The following is a 22,118-nucleotide window of genomic DNA, read 5'->3' on the forward strand; positions in this document are numbered from 1 at the left end:
GCCATCACCCTCCTCCCCAGGCCTAAGCAGTCCCTCATCTGCTTCCGTCTCTGGGGACTTCCCTGTTCTGCGTTCTGTGTGACATGTGGTTGTGTGTGATTTATGATTGTGTGTAACATGCGTTCCATTTCATCCATGTGACATGCGGTTGTGTGGGAGATATGATTGTGTGTAACATGCGTTCTGTATGATGTGCGGTTGTGTGTGAGATACAGTTGTGTGTAACACACATTCTGTATGACGTGCAGTTATGTGTAAGATACGGTGTGTAACACATGTTCCATGTGACATGTGGTTTGTGTGATTTATGATTGTAACATGCATTCCATGTGGTCCGTGTGACGTGGTTGTGTGTGATACACCATTGCATGTAACGTGTTCCGTGTGATGTGTGGTTGTGTGTGACACACCGTTGTGTGTAGCATGTGTTCTGGCAGGCGGTCGTGTGTGGCTTCCTTCGCCGAGCACAGTGCTTTCACGATGCCCCCGTGTTGGCGCGTGCCTGTGCCCCATTCCTTTCTATGCTGAATGATGCTCCCCATGTGGGTGAACATATGGTGTTTGTCCATCTGTCAGTCTGTGGACATGTGAGCTGTCTCTGCCTTTTGGCTGCTGTGCACAAAGCTGCTGTGAGCTTTCCTGCAGTCTCTGTGTGGCTGTGTGTGTGTGTGGCTGTGTGTGTGGCTGTGTGTGTGTGGCTGTGTGTGTGTGTGTGGCTGTGTGTGTGGCTGTGTGTGTGTGTGTGGCTGTGTGTTTTTGCTTCTTTCAGGCTCACCCCTGGGGGTGGAGCCGCTGGGTCCTGTGGGTCATGATCATGTGCGTCATCTTCAGGAGGGTGCCAGGTTGTGCTCTGCAGTCCTAGGCAAGTGGAGGTGGTCCCGCTGCCAGCTTCAGCCTGAAGAGCAGGTGCTGAGTGAGGTGCTGAGCTTCCTGGTGTCCCTGCTGCACCCTGGTAGGCCAGCACCCCACCCACCAGAGCAGCTGTGGAGAGGACAGTGGGCATGGTGGGGACTCCAAATGGGACGCACACGGCCCCCAGGGGAGGCTCGGCTTGGGCACCCAGGCGGCCGGGGTATCTCTAACCAGTGGCTGCCCATGGGGTGAGTAGGGCCCTGCTGCCCCATCAGAGCTTGTCCCACTGTGGCTGGCGAGGAGATCAGCAAGGGCTTGAGGCCCATTCTCGCAGCCTGTCCCCTGCCTGGGGTGGCCTGGCATTCAGTGGTGGGGTCCCGGAAGCCCCGGTGCCGAGGCAGGTGTGCTCTGGCAGGCTTGAGCTGGGCCACCCTGGAGGCACCACTTGTCTTTGCGTTTCCCTCTCACCTGCTCCCTGGACAGGCCCTCTGCATTTGAGGGCCTGTTTGTGTCCCCAGGGCATCTCTGGATGGGCATGAGCACACAGGGACCCAGCACGTGGGTTCTGCACCATCCAGCACTGTCCATACAGGCCCTGGCATGTCCTCCTGGCCTGTAATTTTGTTCTGCATGGCTTGGTTTTTGCACGAAGGGGAGCACAGTATTCCTTTCTCATCCTCCAAAATGGATTGCAAATGTTCTGAGCTGTCACATTGGCGAGAACGAAGCCCCTGCTAATTGGCGCATTTTCCTGCAACCACTCCAGGCTGAGTTCTAGAGGAAGCCTCTGCCTTTCTGTCTCACGTTGCGCACTTTCTCCCTGAAATATTTAATGTGCTAAATTCCAACTTCACACACATCAGCTCTAAAGCCGACTAATCATTTAGCTTGATTGTCGAACTGAATTTGGCTCTGAGATTTTAAAATAAGAAAAAAAACTGTCAAGCTCTACGTAAGGCAGACACTATGGCTGACTCTTCACAAGAAAATATCTTTCTTTCTTGAGGGATTTGTGGCAGAGTCCATCTTTATGGAGAGTAGAAATCGTTTTACCCACCAGGGCAGCATATAAAATGTTAGGCAGATGTTAAATATTGATGTAGAAACTCAAAATACTTTGTCTCTTTCCAGAAATGAGCGTTTTGGTTTAATTACTCTGAATCTAATGACTGTGGAAAAAACACAACACGTGTGCGTTCCGAACGGAAAACATTTAGATTAAGGAAGAATTTCAGCTCCTCAAAACTGGGAAAGGAGCATACTGGGCCTGTCCTGCAGTGGGGCTGCTTGCTGATACTGACACGCATGTGCGACTGGGTGCCCATGCGTGTGCGTGCGTGTGCCGTGTGGATGCCGTGTGCCCGTGCCTGCGCGTGCGTGTGCCGTGTGGGTGCCGTGTGCCCCTGCGTGCGCGTGCGTGTGCCGTGCGTGTGCCGTGTGGGTGCCGTGTGCGCGTGCGTGTGCCATGTGGATGCCATGTGCCTTGCATGTGCCGTGTGGATGCCGCATGCCCGTGCGTGTGCCATGTGGATGCCGTGTGCCCGTGTGTCCACGTGCGTGTGCCGTGTGGATGCCGTGTGCCCGTGTGTGTGCCGTGTGGATGCTGTGTGCCCGTGCGTGTGCCGTGTGGATGCTGTGTGCCCATGTGTGCCTTGCGTGTGCCATGTGGATGCTGTGTACCCGTGTGTGTGTGCATGTGCCATATGGATGCTGTGTGCCCATGAGTGCTCATGTGTGTGCCGTGTGGATGCTGTGTACCCACGCGTGCGCGTGCTTGTGCCGTGTGGATGCTGTGTACCCACGCGTGCGCGTGTGTGTGCCGTGTGGATGCTGTGTACCCACGTGTGCGCGTGCGTGTGCCGTGTGGATGCTGAATTGCACTTTCAACGACGTGACCGTTCCTTCCTTGCAGGCCACCTCCGGAGGTGTTCACTGCCGGTGGCTGTACCTGGCCATAGATCTGGGGGCTGTGCTGCCCCAGGCATCCCACCCTGTTCCAGGACACAGAGGCCAATGCTGTTCCCCTGTTCCGGCAGGCGTGGGCTGCACGCCTGCTGGCAAGGGGCTCAGCTGGCCTGAGCCTGGGCCAGCTGTCCCTAGAGCATCTGCTCCTGTGGGGAGGGGGCGTTTTGACAGCATGGGGATAATTTTTTTCATAATTAAGAGTTTTTTTTTTAAGTGAATAGACTTTATTTTGTAGAGCAGTTTTTGGTTTACAGAGCAGGGAGCAGGTAGCACAGGGCATTCCCTGAGCCCCCACCCACAGTGCCCTTATGCCCGTCATTTGCATCGGCACTGGTGCCAGTCCAGGGCCTGTTAGGAACCAGGCCACACAGCAGGAGGTGAGAGGTGGGCAGGCAAAGCATTACCACCTGAGCATCACCTCCCGTCACATCAGCGGCAGCATTAGCTTCTCATACGAGCATGAATCCTATTGTGAACTGCCCATGCCAGGGAGCTAGGCTCCGAGCTCCTCACGAGAATCTAATGCCTGATGACCTGAGGTGGGCCAGTTTCATCCCCAATCATCGCCCCCCCCAGCCTCTGGTCTATAAGAAAAATGTCTTTCATAAAACTGGTCCCTGGTCCCTGGTGCCAAAAAGGTTGGGGACCACTGCTGCTGTTCCATCAGTTTTGACAAATGCACGATGCCGTGTGTCCACCATCACAGTATCGTATGGAATCATTTCACTGCCCTAGAAATCCCTGCGCTCTACCATTCATGATTTACTTGGACAAAAACACATACGGCCACCAAGGAAAACAGCCATAGTGAAGCAGATGTCAAAATATCAACAAAGCAGATGTGTGAGGGTGGCAGTGGCTGCATTACACGTCGCACTGGATAACAAAACCCAGCGTCCAGCAGCCCCTGAGTTTTAGAGGTGGAGGTGAGTGTGGACAAGTTTGAAAAACCTGCAACAACTGCAAAGTGATACAAACACACCTGTGTTTTCTATTTGAGATAAAGCCCTGGGATGGCTGGCGTTCCTCGTGGAAGGAAATGCCAGATTTCAGTCAGAGCTTAGTAAAATAGAGATGTTGCTTTTTCTCGTCCAAGTTCACAGACCCCATGAATGAAGCATCCCTGCTCTAGGAAAGCACGGAAAGCTTGTGCATCAGAGGGACATATGCCCACAGGGATTGAAAATGTGTTTTCAAAACAAGGTATGTTGTTTGCAAAATCTCCACCATTACAAATAGCCACGTAGGCTTCTGATGGCTCTATGTGCACAGCCAATTCCGAGTGAATTCAATTATTTCACATTGACAGGAAACAGGTTAATTAGGAGAAGTTGATTAGGCTTTGCAAAAGGAGATGTAATTAATGCCCAACCGCATGCCAGGCACGACGGCTGCATTTCAATGTCTTCACATGACTGAGAGAGTTACTGCCTGAGAGCTGGGAGACAGCAGGGGAGCAACCAGCATGCCGGCGCCTGGGGTGTCCAGCAAGTGGCAGGGGGCGCTGCTGGCCCAAAAGGTTAGCTCAGGTGTGCCACGATCCCCATCATCATCATCATCACTATCACCATCATCACACCATCACTATCACTGTCATCACAATCACCATCATCATCACCACTATCACTGTCATCACTATCATCATCACCATCACTATCACTGTGACCATCACCATCATCACCATCATCATCACACCATCACTGTCACTGTCATCACAATCACCACCATCATCATCATCACTATCACTGTCATCATTATCATCACCATCACTATCACTGTCACCATCACCATCATCATCATCACACCATCACTAAAATGTCATCGTCATCACATTCATCATCATATCACAATCACTATGATCACCATCACTGTCACCATCATCATCATCACATTCATCATCACATCACAATCACCATCATCATCACCATCACTATCACTGTCGTCATCATCATCACATTCATCATCAGATCACAATCACCATCACTGTCACCATCACAATCATCACCATCACCATCACATTCATCATCACATCACAATCACCATCATCACCACCATCACTCTCACTGTCATCACAATCACCATCATCATCATCACCATCACTATCACTGTCACCATCACAATCATCATCACCATCACTATCACTGTCATCACTATCATCACCATCACTATCACCGTGACCATCACCATCATCATCATCATCACACCATCACTATAAATGTCATCGTCATCACATTCATCATCAGATCACAATCACTATGTGACTGTCACCATCACAGTGACTGTCACCATCACCATCACAATCACCATCATCATCACCATCACTATCACTGTCATCACTATCATCATCACCATCACAGTCACTGTCACCATCATCACACCATCACTATCACTGTCATCACCACCATTATCCCCATCATCTTCATCTCATCACCATCACTCCACCTTCATCACCTCATCACCATTACACCACCATCACTGTCATCACTGTCACCATCACCATCACCACCATCATCTTCATCTCATCTTCACCACCACCGTCTTCATTATCACCTCACACCACTGTCATCACCTTTGTCATTATTGCTGTTGTCATCACACTCCTCACAGCTTCCTCATGCATGCCTGTGTGCAAGGCTCTCTGGAAGGTGCTGGGCTGCTGAGGCATGTTTCTGGAGGAACGGCTGCGGGCACCACACCACAAACAAGCCATGTGGACCAGATGTGGCCGGGACCTGGCCTGGCTCCTGTCTTGCAAGCCCCCTGCCTTGAGAAATGGGGACTGTGTGGATGAACACACGGGCTCGGTGGAGGGGAGAATGCCGCCTTTGGAGAGGTAGGAGGGCTCCAAGCGGACTTCGAGGACAGGGAGCCTCAGCAGTGTGGCCCTGGCACTCTACCAGGCCTCAGGGTGTACCCTGGTGGGCTTCAGTCCAGGCCAGAGCAGCTGCGCAGTGTCCCTGCTCACTCCTCATCCCCGGGCATTCTCAGCTGTGCTCTCCCGCCCTTGCCCACTCATCCCATTTTCTGCCCCAATTGTTTTGACTCCTTCCTCCAAGGACCACAGATGTCCCCTTCCCTCTGCATGGGTCCCAGAATTTGGGGCCAGTCAGGCCTTAGCTCAGAGCAGGCACCCTGACCACCCATCAATCCCAGCATGAGATGCAGGAGGGAAGCAGAGCCAGAAGGCTGGGTGGCCTGTCCAGCGCTCCAGGGAAAGCCCAGCTCCATCAGGCCAGGCTTCAAATGTCAACCTGCATCCAGCAGCTCAGCCTCTAAGTGTCCCCAACCCTTCCACAGTGGCCACTACCCACTCCACAATGGAGCCTGGCTCCAGGCCGAGGGGCCAGTGGCAGCAGGGTGTGCTGGAGACCCCCCGTGAGAAGGACAGGGGTCAGCGGCCCTCCCCACCGTGACCTTTTATAGTCCCCATTCCAAGCCCATCCTCCCTCCCTGATGTCTGGGCCTCCCAGCACAGCCCCGTGCCCCACCAAGAGCCACAGAGGCAGCCCCCGTGCTCTGTCCCTGCAGCTTGGTAACCGTGGGGCAGCATGGGCCCTCCCTCTGCACACCCAGCGCATGCCTGGGTGCTCCCACCTGCCGGACCTGGCTGGCCTCCATTCAAGTGGGGAGGCCCTGGGACCACACCCCAGAGTGCCTGGGAGGGCAGAGGTAGGCCTGCTGCCAACACAGGGCCTGGGAACGTGGTGCCTCATCTGGCCCAGCCGGGGCCCAGAACAGCACCCTTCCTGGGAGATCAGGCTCCAGTGTTGACCCCTTGCCCTGGCTCATCGGCTCCTCCCGGCTGTGCCGGGATTCCTGGCTCTTGGTCCCCATCCACCCCTCCTCCCTGGCAAGCCAGGCTGCAGGCCCCACCTTCTCCCCAGCTCCTTCCTTCCTCCTGTGGCCCATGCTGTCTCCAGGAGAGCAGGGGGCTCAGGAAGGGATTCTGCCCGTGGGCACTGCTGACCTGGGCAGGCAGGGGCAGGGTGGGCTGCACTTCCTCCCATCTCAGGACCTGGCAGGGGTGGCACAGCCCAGCTGCAGGGACTCTGGCGGGAGTGAGCTGCCCTGCCCCCACTGTGCCTCTCAGGGCCTGTCCCCCTCCCACCTGAGCCCTCCACTGGGCGTCTCTTCTGAATCCAGTCCATGCCCACTGGCTGCCTGTGCCCCAGGTTGGGCTTTGCGCTGGAGCTGCACCCCAGGCTCTGCAAAGCCACCATGGTGACAGTGTTTCCAGGGAAACCACAGCAGGCTGCCAGGCAAGTGCAGGCGGAGGACACCCAGGTGGGAGGTGTGTGTCTGTGTGTGTGAGGGAGAGCAGGAAGGTGTGGCGCGTGTTCGTGGGTTGTGTGTCCATGAGGTGGTGTGTATGTGGGGGTACCCTTGAGAGCTTGTGTGTTTGTAGGTCATTGTGGGGCACATGCCTGAGGGTCCTGGGTGTGTGTGTCTGAGGCAGCTAAGTGTGTATGTATATGTGCATGTGTGAGCACATGCGTGTCAGTGTGTGTGAGTGTGGGGGTCCATGTGCATCGGTGTGATGTGTGCACATGTGCCAGTGTGTGTGTTGGGATGCATGTTTGCATGTGTGTGTCAGTCTGTGTTGGGGTGTCTGTGTCTATGTGTGCATGTGTTGGGGTATCTATGTATCTGTGTATGTGTGTGCGTGTGTGTATATGCTGAGGTGTTGTGTCTGTGTGCATGTGTGTGCACACGTGTGTCAGTGTGTTGGGGTGTGTCTATATGTGCATGTGTTGGGGTGTCTGTGTATCTGCATATGTGTGCACACATGTGTCTGCATGTGCCTGTGTGGTGTCGTTGTGTCTCTCCGTGCATGTGTGTGCACATGTGTGTCAGCGTGTGTGCATGTTGGGGTGTCACGTATGTGTCCTGAGTGTGTTTCTGTGGGCCTGAGGGTCCCTGGTGGGCAACCTTGTCTACCCAGCACCAAGGATCTGTGTCCCCAGCAACACTGCCGCTCCCCTCAGCCCATCCCCCAGGGTCCCTGAGCCTTCAGGTAAACTCACCTTAGCCAATGACAGCAGGCTTGTAGGGGCCACGCGGGCTGCGCTTGGACCTGTCCCAGAGCGTGAGGGTGCTGTGATCCTCTGAGGGCCCGGCAGGCCTGGTGGGGCAGGGTCCCGAGAAGGAAGATGGTGCCTTCAGATCATGGGGTGTTCCTTGAAGCTTCCTGTCCACCTCACCCCCGCACCCCACCCCTGCTCACCCTCCTCCTGGGGCTCAATAGCATCCCCTCCCCAGGGGCTCCTCCTCCCCACCATTCTTGTCCCCTGAGGTCGCTGGGCCCCCAGCAGCTCAGGCTGGCCATCTAGAAGGTGCAGGCCCCAGGACTGGACCCAGCTGGGCAAGGCCTGGGGTTCACTCTGAGGCCTGGGGCACCAGCCCCTCAGAGGCACCAAGGACAGAATCATTCTCAGGGCCAGGCCGTGGGGCACAGCTGCCCCCTGTAGCCCCCAACGCCCCATCTGTCCACACAGGCTCAGCAGCTCCCACCTGCCTAGCTCTGTGGCCCCAAGGGCCCCTCCCCGTAGGGTCTGAGTGGCCCAAGGCAGGGCAAAGTCTCACCTTGCCTGGAAATCTGGGAGGCTCCAAGGACCCCGAGCCTGCACCTCATTCATTCATTCATTCATTCTGCCATCAGCTCCTGTGGAGCTCTTGTCTGAGTTCCAGGCCCCGGGCCATGTGCCAGGCCCCAGGGAATCAAGACAGTCCAGGACAGGCCCTGGAGCATCTCCCCAGCTCTCTCAGTCTCCTGGTTCATCACAGAGGCCAGTGCCTTTGTTGGAGTGAGCAGCTGTGAGGGGCAGTTTGGGCATGAAAGAAGGAACCAGCCACTTTGGAGCATCAGGGAGGACTTCCTGGAAGAAGCCATCTCTAAGCTGATCCTCAAAGAGCTGAGAGCAAGCTTGGCGGGCTGTCACTGGAGAAGGAGAAATATTCTGGAGAGGGAGTGCAGAGTGTGCACGTCCCGATGCAGAGAGGGACGCAGCGGGGAGCTCCTCTCTGAGACAGGGTCCCACGCCAGGCAGTGTGAGAAGCAGGGGAGGCTGCAGGCCATGGTGGTTGGCCAGAGTGAGTGCCCAGCAGGGATAGCCTGGGGGGCCTGGCAGGGGCTGTCCCAGGCAGGTCTGCAGCATGGACCACGGCAGAACCCCAGGAGGCTCCTCAGTGATGCAGGGTGGGGACAGGCTGTGCAGGCCACGGGTGGGATGGAGCAGGTGCAGTGGCCCACCAACCACCCAGACAGCAGGGGGCCCCTCCCGCCGTGCCACACACAGGTTAGGCCTGGGTGAGGGCGGTGTGGAGGACAGACCGAGTCAAGCCCAGGTAGTTACGGAGCGTGTTTAGTGCGCCCTCGCTTCGTGTTCACCCTGTAACGGCCCAGGCCCCAGGAGAAGCAGCCCCGGGGGCTCCCGCCCTGCAGGCCCAGGGGAGGGCACCCAGCAGGGAGGCTGGATCAGGAGGGGCTCAGCTCCCACAGGTCTGGGCACCGCCAGCAGAGCCCCCAAAGGACCTGGATGCCCTAGCCCCAAGGGCAGGGGAGCAGCCACCCGGCAACAGGGCTGGGACACTGTGAGGGGCCTGCAGTGCTGGAGGTGCAGATACAGCACCCCCAGGGATGCTCCGGGGCAGCCCTTTTAGGCAGCAGATGTGGCCACCACCCTGTGCCCAGCAGAGGCTGCCAAGCCCACCCGCCCTTAGCAGGAAGGGGGTCAGGACCTGGCCTGAGTGAGAGGGACGAGGAGAGAAGAGAGCAGTCAATGACTGGAACGGACCCAGTGGCCTTCGTCCCACCTGGCCAGCACTGGCCCCTCGCCTCCCCTCCCCACACCCCATGACCCCAGGGACAGGCCTGATGTGGACAGAGTCCCCGAGAGATGCACATTTACAAGTTTGATCCAGTGGATAGATTTTCCTCTTTGCTAATCGGAACACGTCTGCTGTGGCTGCCGTAATAGGCAAATGAAACAATTAAAACGAGCAGAATGCACCCAGTTAACATTTCAAACAAGAACGCTTTTCCCTTTAAGCTAATACTGGACTGAAGACAAAAAGGATGTCAGCTTGAAGCTGATGAGAATGAGTAGCTTTGCAGCTCCCCTGAGGCAGGCCTGGAGCTGAGTGCAGGCGGCAGCCCCTGCCCTCATCCCCCTCGGCCCTGTGCTGGCCACGTGGGCGACCACGGGCACCCTCCTTACACCTGGGATGCATTTGTCTGCAGGTGCCCGCCGGCCCCTCCCTTCAAGCCTCACGGAATTGAAACAAGGGGCTGCAGGAATCGATTCTCCGGCCGAAAGACTTCTCCAGTAAGGGAGCTTCCCAGGCTCCGTTTCACAGGAGCACCGGCTGGGGGAGGACCGGGAGGGCCTTCATTATGCAGTCATTACAGAGTCTCATCAAGCGCTGATTCCACCTGCTTGAGAAGCCGACTTTTTTTTTTTTTTTTTTTTTTTTTTTTTGAGACAGCGTCTTGCTCTGTTGCCCACGCTGGGGTGCAGTGGTGCGATCTTGGCTCACTGCAACCTCCGCCTCCGAGGTTGAAGCCATTCTCCTGCCTCAGCCTCCTGAGTTGCTGAGATTACAGGCACGTGCCACCACACCCAGCTAATTTTTTTTGTATTTTTAGTAGAGATAGGGTTTCACCATGTTAGCCAAGATGGTCTCGAACTCCTGGCCTCGTGATCTGCCCGTCTCGGCCTCCCAAAGTGCTGGGATTACAGGCGTGAATCACCACGCCCAGCCCAGAAGCCAGCCTTTCTTTGGTTCTGGAAGCAACAGCAGAGCCATGACTTTGGTGGTGGAGACTGGTCTTTGTTCAAATAAATGTCACCACCCTGGACACTAGGCCGGGCATAACAGACCACAAAGCCAGGTGGTGGCTGACCTGCAAGACCGTAGCCTCAGAGCTGCAGCTTCTCCCAGGGAGGGGCGCCTGGCAGTGCCTGCAAGGACGGAGACCCCGGCAGTGTCTAGGTCCGTGTCCCATGCTGAGGGTGCACTGGGTGACGTGGGAGGCGGGCCCTGGTCACATGCATGGGCCCTTGACCACATGCAGCTCGGTTGGCCCCAGCTGACTGTCCCCATCCTGGAGACCCGCGGCAGCCTGAGAAGGGCCTCGGTGGTCATCCTCGTCTGTTCCTTCTGCTAAAACAAAATACCTCAGAGGGGGCAATTTGTAACCAGAATTTCATCGCTCAGTTCTGGAGGCTGGGACGTCCAGGACCGAGGCCCCAGCAGATTCAGCGTCTGGTGAGGGCTGCTTTCTGCTCTCTGCTCCCAGGACGGCGGCTTCTTGCTGTGTCCTCACCCAGTGGCAGGGACGGGAGGGTGGGGAAGGGCAACCAGGACCCTCAAAACTCTTATGAGGCTACTGGTCCCATTCATATCCTCCTCATCTCCCAAAGCCCACCAGTGATGCCATCGCCTTGGGGCTTAAGTTCTAACAAATGAATCTGGGGGTGACATCAACATTCAGACCATAGCAGCAGCTGTGATGGTTACTTTTGTGTCAGCTCGACCAGGCCACGGTCCCCAGCTATTTGGTCAAACACCAGTGTAGACGTCGCTGTGAGGGTGTTTCTTGGATGAGGTTAATATTTCAATCAGGAGACTTTGGGTAGAGCAGAGTACTGACCATATTATAGCCTCATCCAGGCAGTCCAAGGCCTTAAGAGAAAAAGACAGTTGTCCCCGAGGAAGAGGAAGTCCCGCCTCCGGACGGCGGCCCCTGGAGGAAGAGGAAGTCCCGCCTCCGGACAGCTTCCAAACATGAGCCGCAGCAGGAGTGTCCCTGGGTCTCCAGCGGCCCTCAGGTGTCAGATGAGCAGCTGCCACAAACACATAAGCCAATTCTTTAAAATAAATCTCTCTTGCACGCTCTCCCTATGTATATATTTACATTTTATATATATATACACACACTACATGTATACTACATATACACACTATGTATACACATACATACACTGTGTATAGAATATATAGGTATGCAATATGCACAGACCATATACACTATGCACACTGTATATAATCTCTATATATGTATACTATATATACACTATACATACACTGTATATATCTATATGCACACTATATTACACAAATATATGCATACTCTATATTAATGTACACTATATGCACACTATGTATACATATGCTATCTCTATAATATATACACATTATATGTGTACATACACTATATATACTCTGTATGCATGCTACATATACACTATACACACACAGTATAGTCCATATGCATACACTATATACACACACTATAACTTTACACACACACACTATATATACTCTATATGCACACACTGTATATATGCTGTATATGTGTGTACTATATGCACACTCACACTATGAATATTCTATATATGTACACAATATCAATATATACCCTATATGTACATGGTATATGCCCTATATGTCCACGGTATATGTCCTATATGCACATGGCATATGGCCTATATGTACACGGGATATACCCTATATGTACACAGCATATGCCCTATATGTATGTGCTATATGTCCTACACGTACACTGTATATACTCTACATGTACATAGTATATACCCTATATGATGTACATGGTATATACCCTATATGTACATTGTAGATACCCAATATGTACATGGTATATGACCTCTATGTACACGGGATATACCCTATATGTACACAGCATATGCCCTATATGTATGTGGTATATGTCCTACACGTACACTGTATATACTCTACATGTACATAGTATATACCCTATATGATGTACATGGTATATACGCTATATGTACATTGTAGATACCCAATATGTACATGGTATATGACCTCTATGTACACTGTATATACCCTATATGTACACTGTTTGTACACACATCCCAATGGTTCTGTTTCCCTGGAGAATCCTGCCTACCCCAGACACCGCTACGCCCCTCTGCCCACTGCCACAGCCTCCCTGCGTGCCCTCAGGCCCCTTCTCCACTGGATGTGGCCCATTGGCTGGGTGCCCCCAGGTGCCTTCTCCACTGGATGTGGCCCATTGGCTGGGTGCCCTCAGGCCCCTTCTCCACTGGATGGGGCCCATTGACTGGGTGCCCCAAGGTCCCTTCTCCACTGGATGTGGCCCATTGGCTGGGTGCCCTCAGGCCCCTTCTCCACTGGATGTGGCCCATTGACTGGGTGCCTCCAGGCACCTTCTCCACTGGATGTGGCCCATTGGCTGGGTGCCCTCAGGCCCCTTCTCCACTGGATGTGGCCCATTGACTGGGTGCCCCCAGGCCCCTTCTCCACTGGATGTGGCCCATTGGCTGAGTGCCCCCAGGCGCCTTCTCCACTGGATGTGGCCCATTGACTGGGTGCCCCCAGGCTCCTTCTCCACTGGATGTGGCCCATTGGCTGAGTGCCCCCAGGCCCCTTCTCCACTTGATGTGGCCCATTGGCTGAGTGCCCCCAGGCCCCTTCTCCACTGGATGTGGCCCATTGGCTGCGTGCCCCCAGGCCCCTTCACTGGATGTGGCCCATTGGCTGCGTGCCCCCAGGCCCCTTCTCCACTGGATGTGGCCCATTGACTGGGTGCCCACAGGTCCCTTCTCCACTGGATGTGGCCCATTGACTGGGTGCCCCCAGGTCCCTTCTCCACTGGATGTGGCCCATTGGCTGAAGTTTGGCATCCAGAGATTACAAGGCTCCTAGCTGGTGGGAGCCAAGGTGGTGGGGAGCAGGGAGGCAGGCTGCCAGATAAAACTCGGGATCCCCAGCTAAGATGAATTCAGATCAGCAATGTATCATTGCTTAGTATACGTCTGTCCCAAATTTGCATGGAGCACACGTATGCTGAAAATGGATTTGTTGTTCTAACTTTGATCTTTTGAATTTGCTAACCTGGGCCGCCCTAGGGAGGGGCACCCAGCCCGGTGGGGAGGGGCAGCTCTGTGCCCTGGGTGGCTCCAGCCCAGCCTTGTCTACACCCCTGACCCAGGCCCGCCTGCCCTGGCTCCCCTGACTGTGAGGGGCTCCCAGCACCAAGGCCCCTCTGTAGGGTTCCCACCATGTGTCTTCTCATTTCGGAGGGCCTGGACCTGTGGGCGTGGCTGGGATCTTTCCCAGTGCCAGTCATATGGCCTCTGCCACTAGGACAGACTAAGGGAGACCCACGGCACACAGCTGCCTTAGGAAAACCCGCCAGGCCCCAGGGGAAGTCCCAGCGAATCCAGCTGCCCAACGACGGGAGAAAGGTTGTTTCCAGGCATCCTGGATGACTGGCTCCATCCAGTGACTCAGCCCAGAGCTCCTCAGGTGCCCCCTCCAAGGCGCTCTTGGCCTGCGGACATTTGGCGGGACACTCATCTCTGGCCAGGAGGCCCACAGCACTCTCCATGGAGTCGAGGGCAAGAAGCACCCTCCACGTTCAGCCTGAGCACGAGGACAGCTCCAGGGGTGACTCTGGGCTCTGTTTCCCCAGAACACCCCAGAGAAGTACAAAGCCCACCAGCGACCCCATACACCTCGAATCCAGGGCCTTCCAGGTGCAGGAAAGATGGCAGAATGTCACCCCAACATCCCCAAAGGAGTAGTCAGGGCCAGGGCAGCCCTTTTGGCCTCTGTGTGAACAACAGGGAGACGTCTGGCTGGGCCCAAGGCCCCTGCCCCCTCAATCACCTCTTGGTGTGTCTGCCACATCCCAGCCACAGCCTGCCACAACCTCGGGGATGGTAGCCGGGGGAGGTGTGGCCAGGTGGGCCTGTGCATAGGGACAGACTGGTGACACCATGCTGTTCGCTGGCCTGACTGCTCCACCAGCTCCCCACTTCCCTCTGTGGGCACCCAGTGGGCCTGTGTGAGGACGAGGCCTGTCTCTCTCTTCCGAGGGCAAGGGAATGAGTTGGGCCTGCGGGGCTAGCCGTGTGCCCCCAGACCTCACAGGACTCCCCCAGCAACTCCTTGTGCGAGCCATGGCTCTGACGGGAGCTGGGCCTCCATGTTCAGGGCCAGGGCCCTGCCTACATCTGATCCACCCACACCTCTTCCCTGAAGCCCGGGCGGCCAGTCTATAAGCGCAAAACATGCCCGTCCCTAGCCCATCCCTAGAACCGCCCGCTGACCAGCTTTCTGCATCTGTCTTCTCTTCTGTTCTCATTACAAAAATCGCAGGTGCTCACCGCATATTATTAAGAAAATGTAAAAAAATCTGAAAAGAACATTAGAATTACCCATAATCACCCCCACCGGAGATAAATCCGTTACCTCTTTGGTATATTTCCTTTTGGGACACACACATATAGACCCATATATTTATATGTAGACCAAGTGAGAGTGGTGGGAACCACCTGGCCTGCTACACTCTGTGGCACTTGCACAGGCAGGGGCCTGAGTGCTGCAGCTTCCTCCCTGCCCGGCACAGGCAGCCACAGGGCCTCCCTCCTGCAGCAGGGCCGGCAGGACCTCCTGCCCATTCACCCACCCCAGTCACTGCCTCTGTCCCCACCCCTGCCAGGTGCACCCATGAGATGCACTCCCGAGGGCAGCGATGCCCGGCAGGCCCATCCCCGAGGGCCCACAGCACAGCTGCAGTTAGAGAAGGGACTTCTTCCAGCGCAGCCAAGTTCATGCCTGCAACAGACTTCAGGGCCTGGAGAGGGTTGTGTTTGCGCTCCTTCTGGAAGCATCCTGCTTGGACCCTGCCAGCCCTGTGGTGGCCAGAGGTCCCGGGGCCAGGCTTTTGTCTCGGCCCTCAGAGACGGGCATTTGGGGAGAGCTGGCAACAGCAAGGACGCAGCCAGGCCCCGGCATGTTTGTGTCCTAGAGAAGTGGAGCTGGCTCTCCCTGGAGGCCACTCACAAAGCCAGGCATCCCTGGGGCAGTGGGTGAGTCTGGGGCAGAGGAGGGCAGATGCCCCATCCACCTGCCCATGCAGAGACAGATGGGACCACCCAGGAGGGCCAGGCCAGGCTCCTTCCTCGGTCCAGGCCCAGCCCAGCACCCCTGGTCTGGTCTGCTCTGGCCCATGACACAGAGAACCAGGCTGCTCACTGTCAGCAGCTGGCCAGGAGCAGGCCCACTCCAAGAGTGTCACGACCCTCTTCCACCGACACCACTGCACCCAGCCGTACAATACAGATCTTCCCATCTTCTGGAGCTGGTGTGGCCCTGACGGTGCCTTTCCAGAGCCAGTGCCCAGTGCAGGCCTCTCGGCACAGTGTGGGCGAGCCCCAGGGGGTCCTATTGGCCCTGGGCTCTGCTATTGCTGAGCAGTTGACTCTGTCCCTAAGAATAGGAGGAGATGGGTGCCTGGGGACCAAGCACAGCTGGTCACCCCAGAGTGCAAGGCCAGTGGGTCCCATTTCCTGCCCAGTGAGTCTGGCTGTCCCGGTGGCCTCTTCCTGCCTCAGAAGCCCTGGACTGAAAGCAGCACGTGATCAGCTGGACGTGGGGGAGGGACCTTCCCTGGAGCAGAAGCCTCTCGAAGGCCCTGTGTTCAGCTGAGAGTGGGTTCCAGAAAGTCATGGAATCTTCCAGAAAAGATGCCACCTACATCCCCGGGATGGCTTTGGTGAACGTGAACGTGGTGGGCTCCTGCGTCAACAGCATGGGCCTTGGCCAATCTGAGCTCCAAGGCATGCCCAGAAGACCTCCCCCAGGTGCCCACAGCTATCCTTGAAGTTGCAGAGACAGACCCCAGAATGAGCCGTGACGCCGTGCTCAAAGTGACCAAAATCCACCCAGAGCACATGCGACGTGCATGTGTGCCTGCGTGCGTGCATGTGTGTGCCTGTGTGAGGATGTGTGTGTGCCTGTGTGCCTGCATGTGGGGTGTGGGGGTGTGTGTGCCTGCATGTGGATACGTGTGTGCCTGTCTGCCTGTGTGTGGATGCATGTCTGTGTGTGCCTGCGTGTGGATGCATGTGTGCCTGTGTGCATGCATGTGGATGCATGTGTATGCCTGTGTGGATGCATGTAGATGTGTGTGTGCCTGCATGTGGATACTTGTGTGGGTGTGTATGCCCATGTGAGTGTATGCCTGCATGTGTGTGTGTCTGTGGATGTGTGTAGATGTGCATGTTCCTGTGTGCCTGTGGGTGGATGTGTGTGTGCATGTGTGTGCCTGCATGTGGATGTGTGTGTTCATGTGTGCGTGTGTGCCTGCGTGTGGACGCATGTGTGCGTGTGTGCGCCTGTGTGTGGATGCATGTGTGCATGTGCGGATGTCTGTCTGTGGATTTGTGTGCATCTGTGTGTGGACTCGTGTGTGTGTGCATGTGTGCCTGCATGAGGGGGCCTTTCCCCCACCCCACCACAGGCTGGCACTCCCAAAACAGCTGGAGTGCTGCCCTCATCTCCCACTACCCTCACCCCCAGCACACAGGATCTGGGCCCACTGTCTCCCCCCCAGCACACGGGATCTGGACCCACTGTCTCCCCTGCCCAGCACACGGGATCTGGGCCCACTGTCTCCCCCCAGCACACGGGATCTGGACCCACTGTCTTCCCAGCACACGGGATCTGGGCCCACTGTCTCCCCTGCCCAGCACATGGGATCTGGACCCACTGTCTTCCCAGCACACGGGATCTGGGCCCACTGTCTCCCCTGCCCAGCACATGGGATCTGGACCCACTGTCTTCCCAGCACACGGGATCTGGGCCCACTGTCTCCCCCCCAGCACACAGGATCTGGGCCCACTGTCTCCCCCCCAGCACACGGGATCTGGGCCCACTGTCTCCCCCCCAGCACACGGGATCTGGGCCCACTGTCTCCCCCCAGCACATGGGATCTGGACCCACTGTCTTCCCAGCACACGGGATCTGGGCCCACTGTCTCCCCCCAGCACACGGGATCTGGACCCACTGTCTCCCCTGCCCAGCACACGGGATCTGGGCCCACTGTCTACCCCCCCAGCACACAGGATCTGGGCCCACTGTCTCCCCAGCACACAGGATCTGGGCCCACTCTCTCCCCAGCACACAGGATCTGGGCCCACTGTCTCCTCAGCAGCGTCCCTGAGCCCCACTGTCCATGGCCCCAGCCACCACTGTGGTGCAGACTCTGGCTCTCAGGACCCCCCCACGCCCTGCCATCTCCACTCCATGGGTTCCCTCACACTAGGCTGAGTGATGCCCAGCACCAGGCATCTCTTGCAGGGCCCGGGACCCCATTCCTCGAAGACGGCTCAGGGCCGAGGGTGGTTGCGTGGCAGGCACTAGGCCTCTCAAATTGGCCTGCAGAATGCTGCCTGCGGTGGGACAGGGCCTACTCCGCCAGCCGACAGCATGTGTACCCTCGAGGCCAGCAGAAGAGAAAGGGAGGTTTCATGTTCTAATTTTCATTTTCGTCAGAATATACTCATAGAGTGAGAACTCAAGCAGCACAGGAAAGGCTGGGGCAGGACTTCCTGAGCCCCCACGGCCACTCTTCAACCCAGGAGCCTCTCCCTGAGCCCGGTTTCTGGTCCTAGAGCCTTAAGCCTGGCAAGACACTCGCCCCGCCGCTCCTGCCCCATGCCTTTGGGGGTGTCGGGATGCCCCACTTTAAGCCGGGCTGAGCTCATCTCCACCCGACCTCCCCGCACTCACGTCAGTGGCCTTTTCAGTCCTGCCGTCCTGGTGGGGTGCAGTGGCCCAGGGTCCTGGCTACCTAATGAGCTCCCCAGGCAAACGTTGGAGCAGAAGGGATCACAAGTGGCACAGCCAAAGGAACGGATTCCAGAAACGTGAGCTGGTGGTTGAAAACACTCACGTGAGCAATTGAAAAGGCCGTGAAACCATTACCAAACATTGAGAGCAGAAATGGAATTTAAAGCGAAGGTGGGTAAAACCCCGAATTCTCCTGATCCCAGATTTCTTTTTCTTTTTTAAGCTTATTTGCTTATTACAAAATGAATCCACTCTTTTTACAGAACAATTACAAAATATTGACAGCCAAGCATGGTATCCTAAACCAGCCCATCCCTCACACATTCAGGGGCAGCTCCTGTTAACCCGGGGTTCCCTCCTCAGGGCTGTTAGCAGGTGCGTATGCATGTGAGTGTGGGTGTGCGTGTGTGCATATGAGTGTGCATGTGCGTATGTGCACGTGTGACTTGCGTGAGTGTGCATGTGCGTGTGCGTGTGTGCACGCATGTGTGTGTGAATGTAGGAGCGCATGTGTGCATGTATGTATGAGTGCATTGCATGTGTGCACGTGTGTGTGCATGTGTGTACGTATATGTGTATGAGTGTGTGTGTGCACGTGTGTGTGCATGTGCGTGTGTGCGCATGCATGTGAGTTTAGGAGTGCATGTGTGCATGTATGTGTATAAGTGGGCATGTGAGTGTATGAGTGTGCATGTGTGTACATGTGTGTGTTTACGCATGTGTATGCATGTGTGCGTGTGTATTCTTAACCCAAGGGAGGCACTGCTTACCACTGGATCATAACCAGATGTTTAACCAGTCTTCAGAGGGAGGACATTTAGGTTCTTTCCAAATGCAGCACAGAGCAGGGGCGCTGGGGAAGGGGAAAGGAAAAAGAGCTCAGCGCAGGGAACTCGTGATCTTGTAGAGACAAACGGAAACATTCACACACCAAGGGACAGCAGCAGAATGGAGGGGCTGAAATGGGGGGGCCGGAATGGGGGGGGCAGATGGGGGATTGGAATGGGGGGGCCAGAATGGAGGGGCCAGAATGGGGGGCCTGGAATGCGGGGGCCGGAATGGGGGGACCGGAATGGGGGGGCTGGAATGGGGTGCCGGAATGGGGGGGCCGGAATGGGCGGGGGGCCAGGACGGGGCGGCCGGCATGAGGTACTAGACTCTTCCTTAAGTGGGGTGGGACACATCCACAATAAAATGTTTAAAAAGAAGGAAAAGGACCAGGGCACTTCAGAAAAAATGAAGGAAGCCACATGGGAGACGTCACAAGGCATTGCCCACCCCTTGCCCACCCCGTGGGCTCCCAGCCAGCAGGCAGGGCAGGGTGCACACTTCCTCCTGCCTCCCCGAGGTCCCCGGGGCTGACCACAGGTTCACATGGGCAGCGAGGTGGTCGCAGGAGGACGGGGCCTGGAGATCCAGCCCCAGATGACACTGCAGGCCCCGGCAGGGGACGGTGCCACCCTCACCTCTGCCTTCTTGCCTCTGCTCTGCCTGGCCCATGGCTCTGTAGGCCTCCGTCCTCTAAGGACTCAAATTTTTTAATATAAAAATAAGTTGCAGGCCGGGTGTGGTGGCTCACACCTGTAATCCCAGCACTTTGGGAGGCCGAGGTGGGCAGATTACCTGAGGTCAGGAGTTCAAGACCAGACTGGCCAATATGGTGAAACCCTATCTCTACTAAAAACACAAAAATTAGCTGGACATGGTGGGGGACGCCTTTAGTCCCAGCTACTTGGGAGGCTGAGGTAGGAGAATTCCTTGAGCCCAGGAGACGGAGGTTGCAGTGAGCTGAGATCGTGCCACTGCACTCCAGCCTGGGCAACAGAGTGAGACTCTGTCTCAAATAAAATAAAATAAGGCCAGGTGCGGTGGCTCACGCCTGTAATCCCAGCACCTTGGGAGGCCAAGGCAGGTGGATCACGAGGTCAAGAGACTGAGACCATCCTGGCTAACACGGTGAAACCCCATCTCTACTAAAAATACAAAAAATTAGCCAGGCGTGGTGGCGGGCGCCTGTAGTCCCAGCTACTCGGGAGGCTGAGGCAGGAGAATGGCGTGAACCCGGGAGGCGGAGCTTGCAGTGAGCCGAGATCACGCCACTGCACTCCAGCCTGGGCGACAGAGCGAGACTCCGTCTCCAAAATAAATAAATAAATAAAATAAAATAAAATAAAAAGTTGCAGTGTCAGCAATGAGTTAGCTCTTTAATGGGGGCTTTTTTAAATGAATATTTCTCAGCTGTTGGTGAGCTCAGCTGAGGGAGGGCGGGCGCCACGGGTCCCTGACTCAGACCTGACTGTGGGGCTGGGACACGACTGCCCCTAGTGGGAGCAAGGCCCAACGGTTGGGGGGTGCCCAGCGCCCAGCCAGCAGCTGGGGTGTCTGTGGGGGCTCCCCCATCGCCCTCCCCTCCCCCTTCCCTTCCTTCCCTCTCCTCTCAACCCCCACTCCCCTCACACCTTCCCCTCCCCCTCACTCCTCTCCCCTCTCCTCAGGGCTCCCTGGCTTCCTGCCTCACCCTTCCCCTCCCCCCACTCCCCTTCCTCAGGGCTCCCTCCCCTCACTCCCTCCCCACTCACTCCCTCTCCCCTTCCTCAGGGCTCCCCGCCTCACTCCCTCCCTGCTCACTCCCCTCCCCTTCCTCAGGGCTCCCCACCCCCCCACTCCTCCTCCCCTCTCCTCAGGGCTCCCCCCCTCACTCCCACTCACTCTCCTCCCCTCTCCTCAGGGCTCCCTCCCTCCTCACTCCCTCCCCGCTCACTCCCCTCCCCTTCCTCAGGGCTCCCTCCCCCCTCACTCCCTCCCCCGCTCGCTCACTCCCTCTCGCCTCTCCTCAGGGCTCCCCGGCTTCCTGCCTCTCTGAATTCCTCCTCCAGACCCTCAAGGCTCCCTGCTCATTCCCTCTGGGGTCCTGAGGTCTCCAAGGGCCACTCTGGCTTCCCCCCTGCAGACCCACCCTCCTAGGGGAACAGGGTGACCCCACACAGACACTGATGGGACAAGAGAACCAGCCCTGCAGAAAGCCTCCAGGTGAGGCTGACAGTGCTGGTCCTGTGACGGGGAAGCAGGTGAGAGCCATCTCTGGCCTCAAGGCTGATCAGCAGCCCCCAAGGTGTCCTCTGCAGAGAGGGCCAGCCTCAGGCCTGCCACCCCGTAGACCACAGGGACCTGTCCTGAGATTCCTCCATTTCTGAGCACCAGCCTAGGAAATGATGGAGGGTCTGGCCCCCAGGCCCAGACCCCCAGGCCCCCTGCCCCCGTCTAGGTCCCCAGGTACTTGCAGAAAAGAAGGGGTGAGCACAGCCTTCTGTAAGGGGGCGCCCGAGTCCTGGCCAAGGTGGCCGCCCACCCTGGGGCTCCAAGGTCCAGGCAGCCACCTCTTCGGTCTCTGCCCTTAATGTGGGGCAGAGTGGCAGGTCAGAGCCCCGGCCCTGGCCCCGGCCCCAGCCCCAGCTCCTCCTCAGCCACAGGGGCATCTCCAATTCCTGAAATAATTCAGTTCCCTCTCCTGGGCACCTCTAGAGCCCAGCTGGGCCCAGGGTGTGTTCTGCAGTTGTGGGGGTGGGGGGGAGGATTTTGCAACCCTACCCTCTCTGCAGGGTACCTCCGGTGGCTCTGGCCTCTGGGCCCCATGCTGTGCCAGACACACAGAGAGG

At 56.6% G+C, this 22,118-nt stretch overlaps 1 long non-coding RNA gene across 2 annotated transcripts, besides 6 other annotated features; it reads right to left on the bottom strand.

Moving 5' to 3' along the window:
- Nucleotides 632–1,158: an enhancer, noted in NCBI's record as "H3K27ac-H3K4me1 hESC enhancer chr10:134237164-134237690 (GRCh37/hg19 assembly coordinates)". NCBI's record gives its function as "activates a minimal SCP1, AML or CMV promoter by ChIP-STARR-seq in naive H9 embryonic stem cells {active_cell/tissue: H9 hESC(naive)}" and the evidence as "EXISTENCE:reporter gene assay evidence [ECO:0000049][PMID:30033119]".
- Nucleotides 7,540–8,040: an enhancer, noted in NCBI's record as "H3K4me1 hESC enhancer chr10:134244072-134244572 (GRCh37/hg19 assembly coordinates)". NCBI's record gives its function as "activates a minimal SCP1, AML or CMV promoter by ChIP-STARR-seq in naive H9 embryonic stem cells {active_cell/tissue: H9 hESC(naive)}" and the evidence as "EXISTENCE:reporter gene assay evidence [ECO:0000049][PMID:30033119]".
- Nucleotides 9,734–21,954, bottom strand: LINC03068 (long intergenic non-protein coding RNA 3068). 2 transcript variants are annotated; one of them, NR_184029.1, is made up of 4 exons: nt 21,744–21,954; nt 19,233–19,315; nt 18,403–18,544; nt 9,734–11,663 (listed from the first exon to the last, which is right to left on the bottom strand). It is a non-coding gene; the product is annotated as a long intergenic non-protein coding RNA 3068 (long non-coding RNA). The 2 variants fall into 2 exon arrangements; NR_184030.1 differs by lacking the exon at nt 18,403–18,544.
- Nucleotides 15,734–16,398: an enhancer, noted in NCBI's record as "H3K27ac-H3K4me1 hESC enhancer chr10:134252266-134252930 (GRCh37/hg19 assembly coordinates)". NCBI's record gives its function as "activates a minimal SCP1, AML or CMV promoter by ChIP-STARR-seq in naive H9 embryonic stem cells {active_cell/tissue: H9 hESC(naive)}" and the evidence as "EXISTENCE:reporter gene assay evidence [ECO:0000049][PMID:30033119]".
- Nucleotides 16,399–17,062: an enhancer, noted in NCBI's record as "H3K27ac-H3K4me1 hESC enhancer chr10:134252931-134253594 (GRCh37/hg19 assembly coordinates)". NCBI's record gives its function as "activates a minimal SCP1, AML or CMV promoter by ChIP-STARR-seq in naive and primed H9 embryonic stem cells {active_cell/tissue: H9 hESC(naive and primed)}" and the evidence as "EXISTENCE:reporter gene assay evidence [ECO:0000049][PMID:30033119]".
- Nucleotides 20,701–20,750: a silencer, noted in NCBI's record as "silent region_2964". NCBI's record gives its function as "represses an Ori minimal core promoter by ATAC-STARR-seq in GM12878 lymphoblastoid cells {active_cell/tissue: GM12878}" and the evidence as "EXISTENCE:reporter gene assay evidence [ECO:0000049][PMID:35858748]".
- Nucleotides 20,851–20,900: a silencer, noted in NCBI's record as "silent region_2965". NCBI's record gives its function as "represses an Ori minimal core promoter by ATAC-STARR-seq in GM12878 lymphoblastoid cells {active_cell/tissue: GM12878}" and the evidence as "EXISTENCE:reporter gene assay evidence [ECO:0000049][PMID:35858748]".
- Nucleotides 21,955–22,118: the final 164 nt, after the last annotated feature.

This window comes from Homo sapiens, chromosome 10 (assembly GCF_000001405.40).
Source record: "Homo sapiens chromosome 10, GRCh38.p14 Primary Assembly".
NCBI classification, from domain to species: domain Eukaryota; kingdom Metazoa; phylum Chordata; class Mammalia; order Primates; family Hominidae; genus Homo; species Homo sapiens.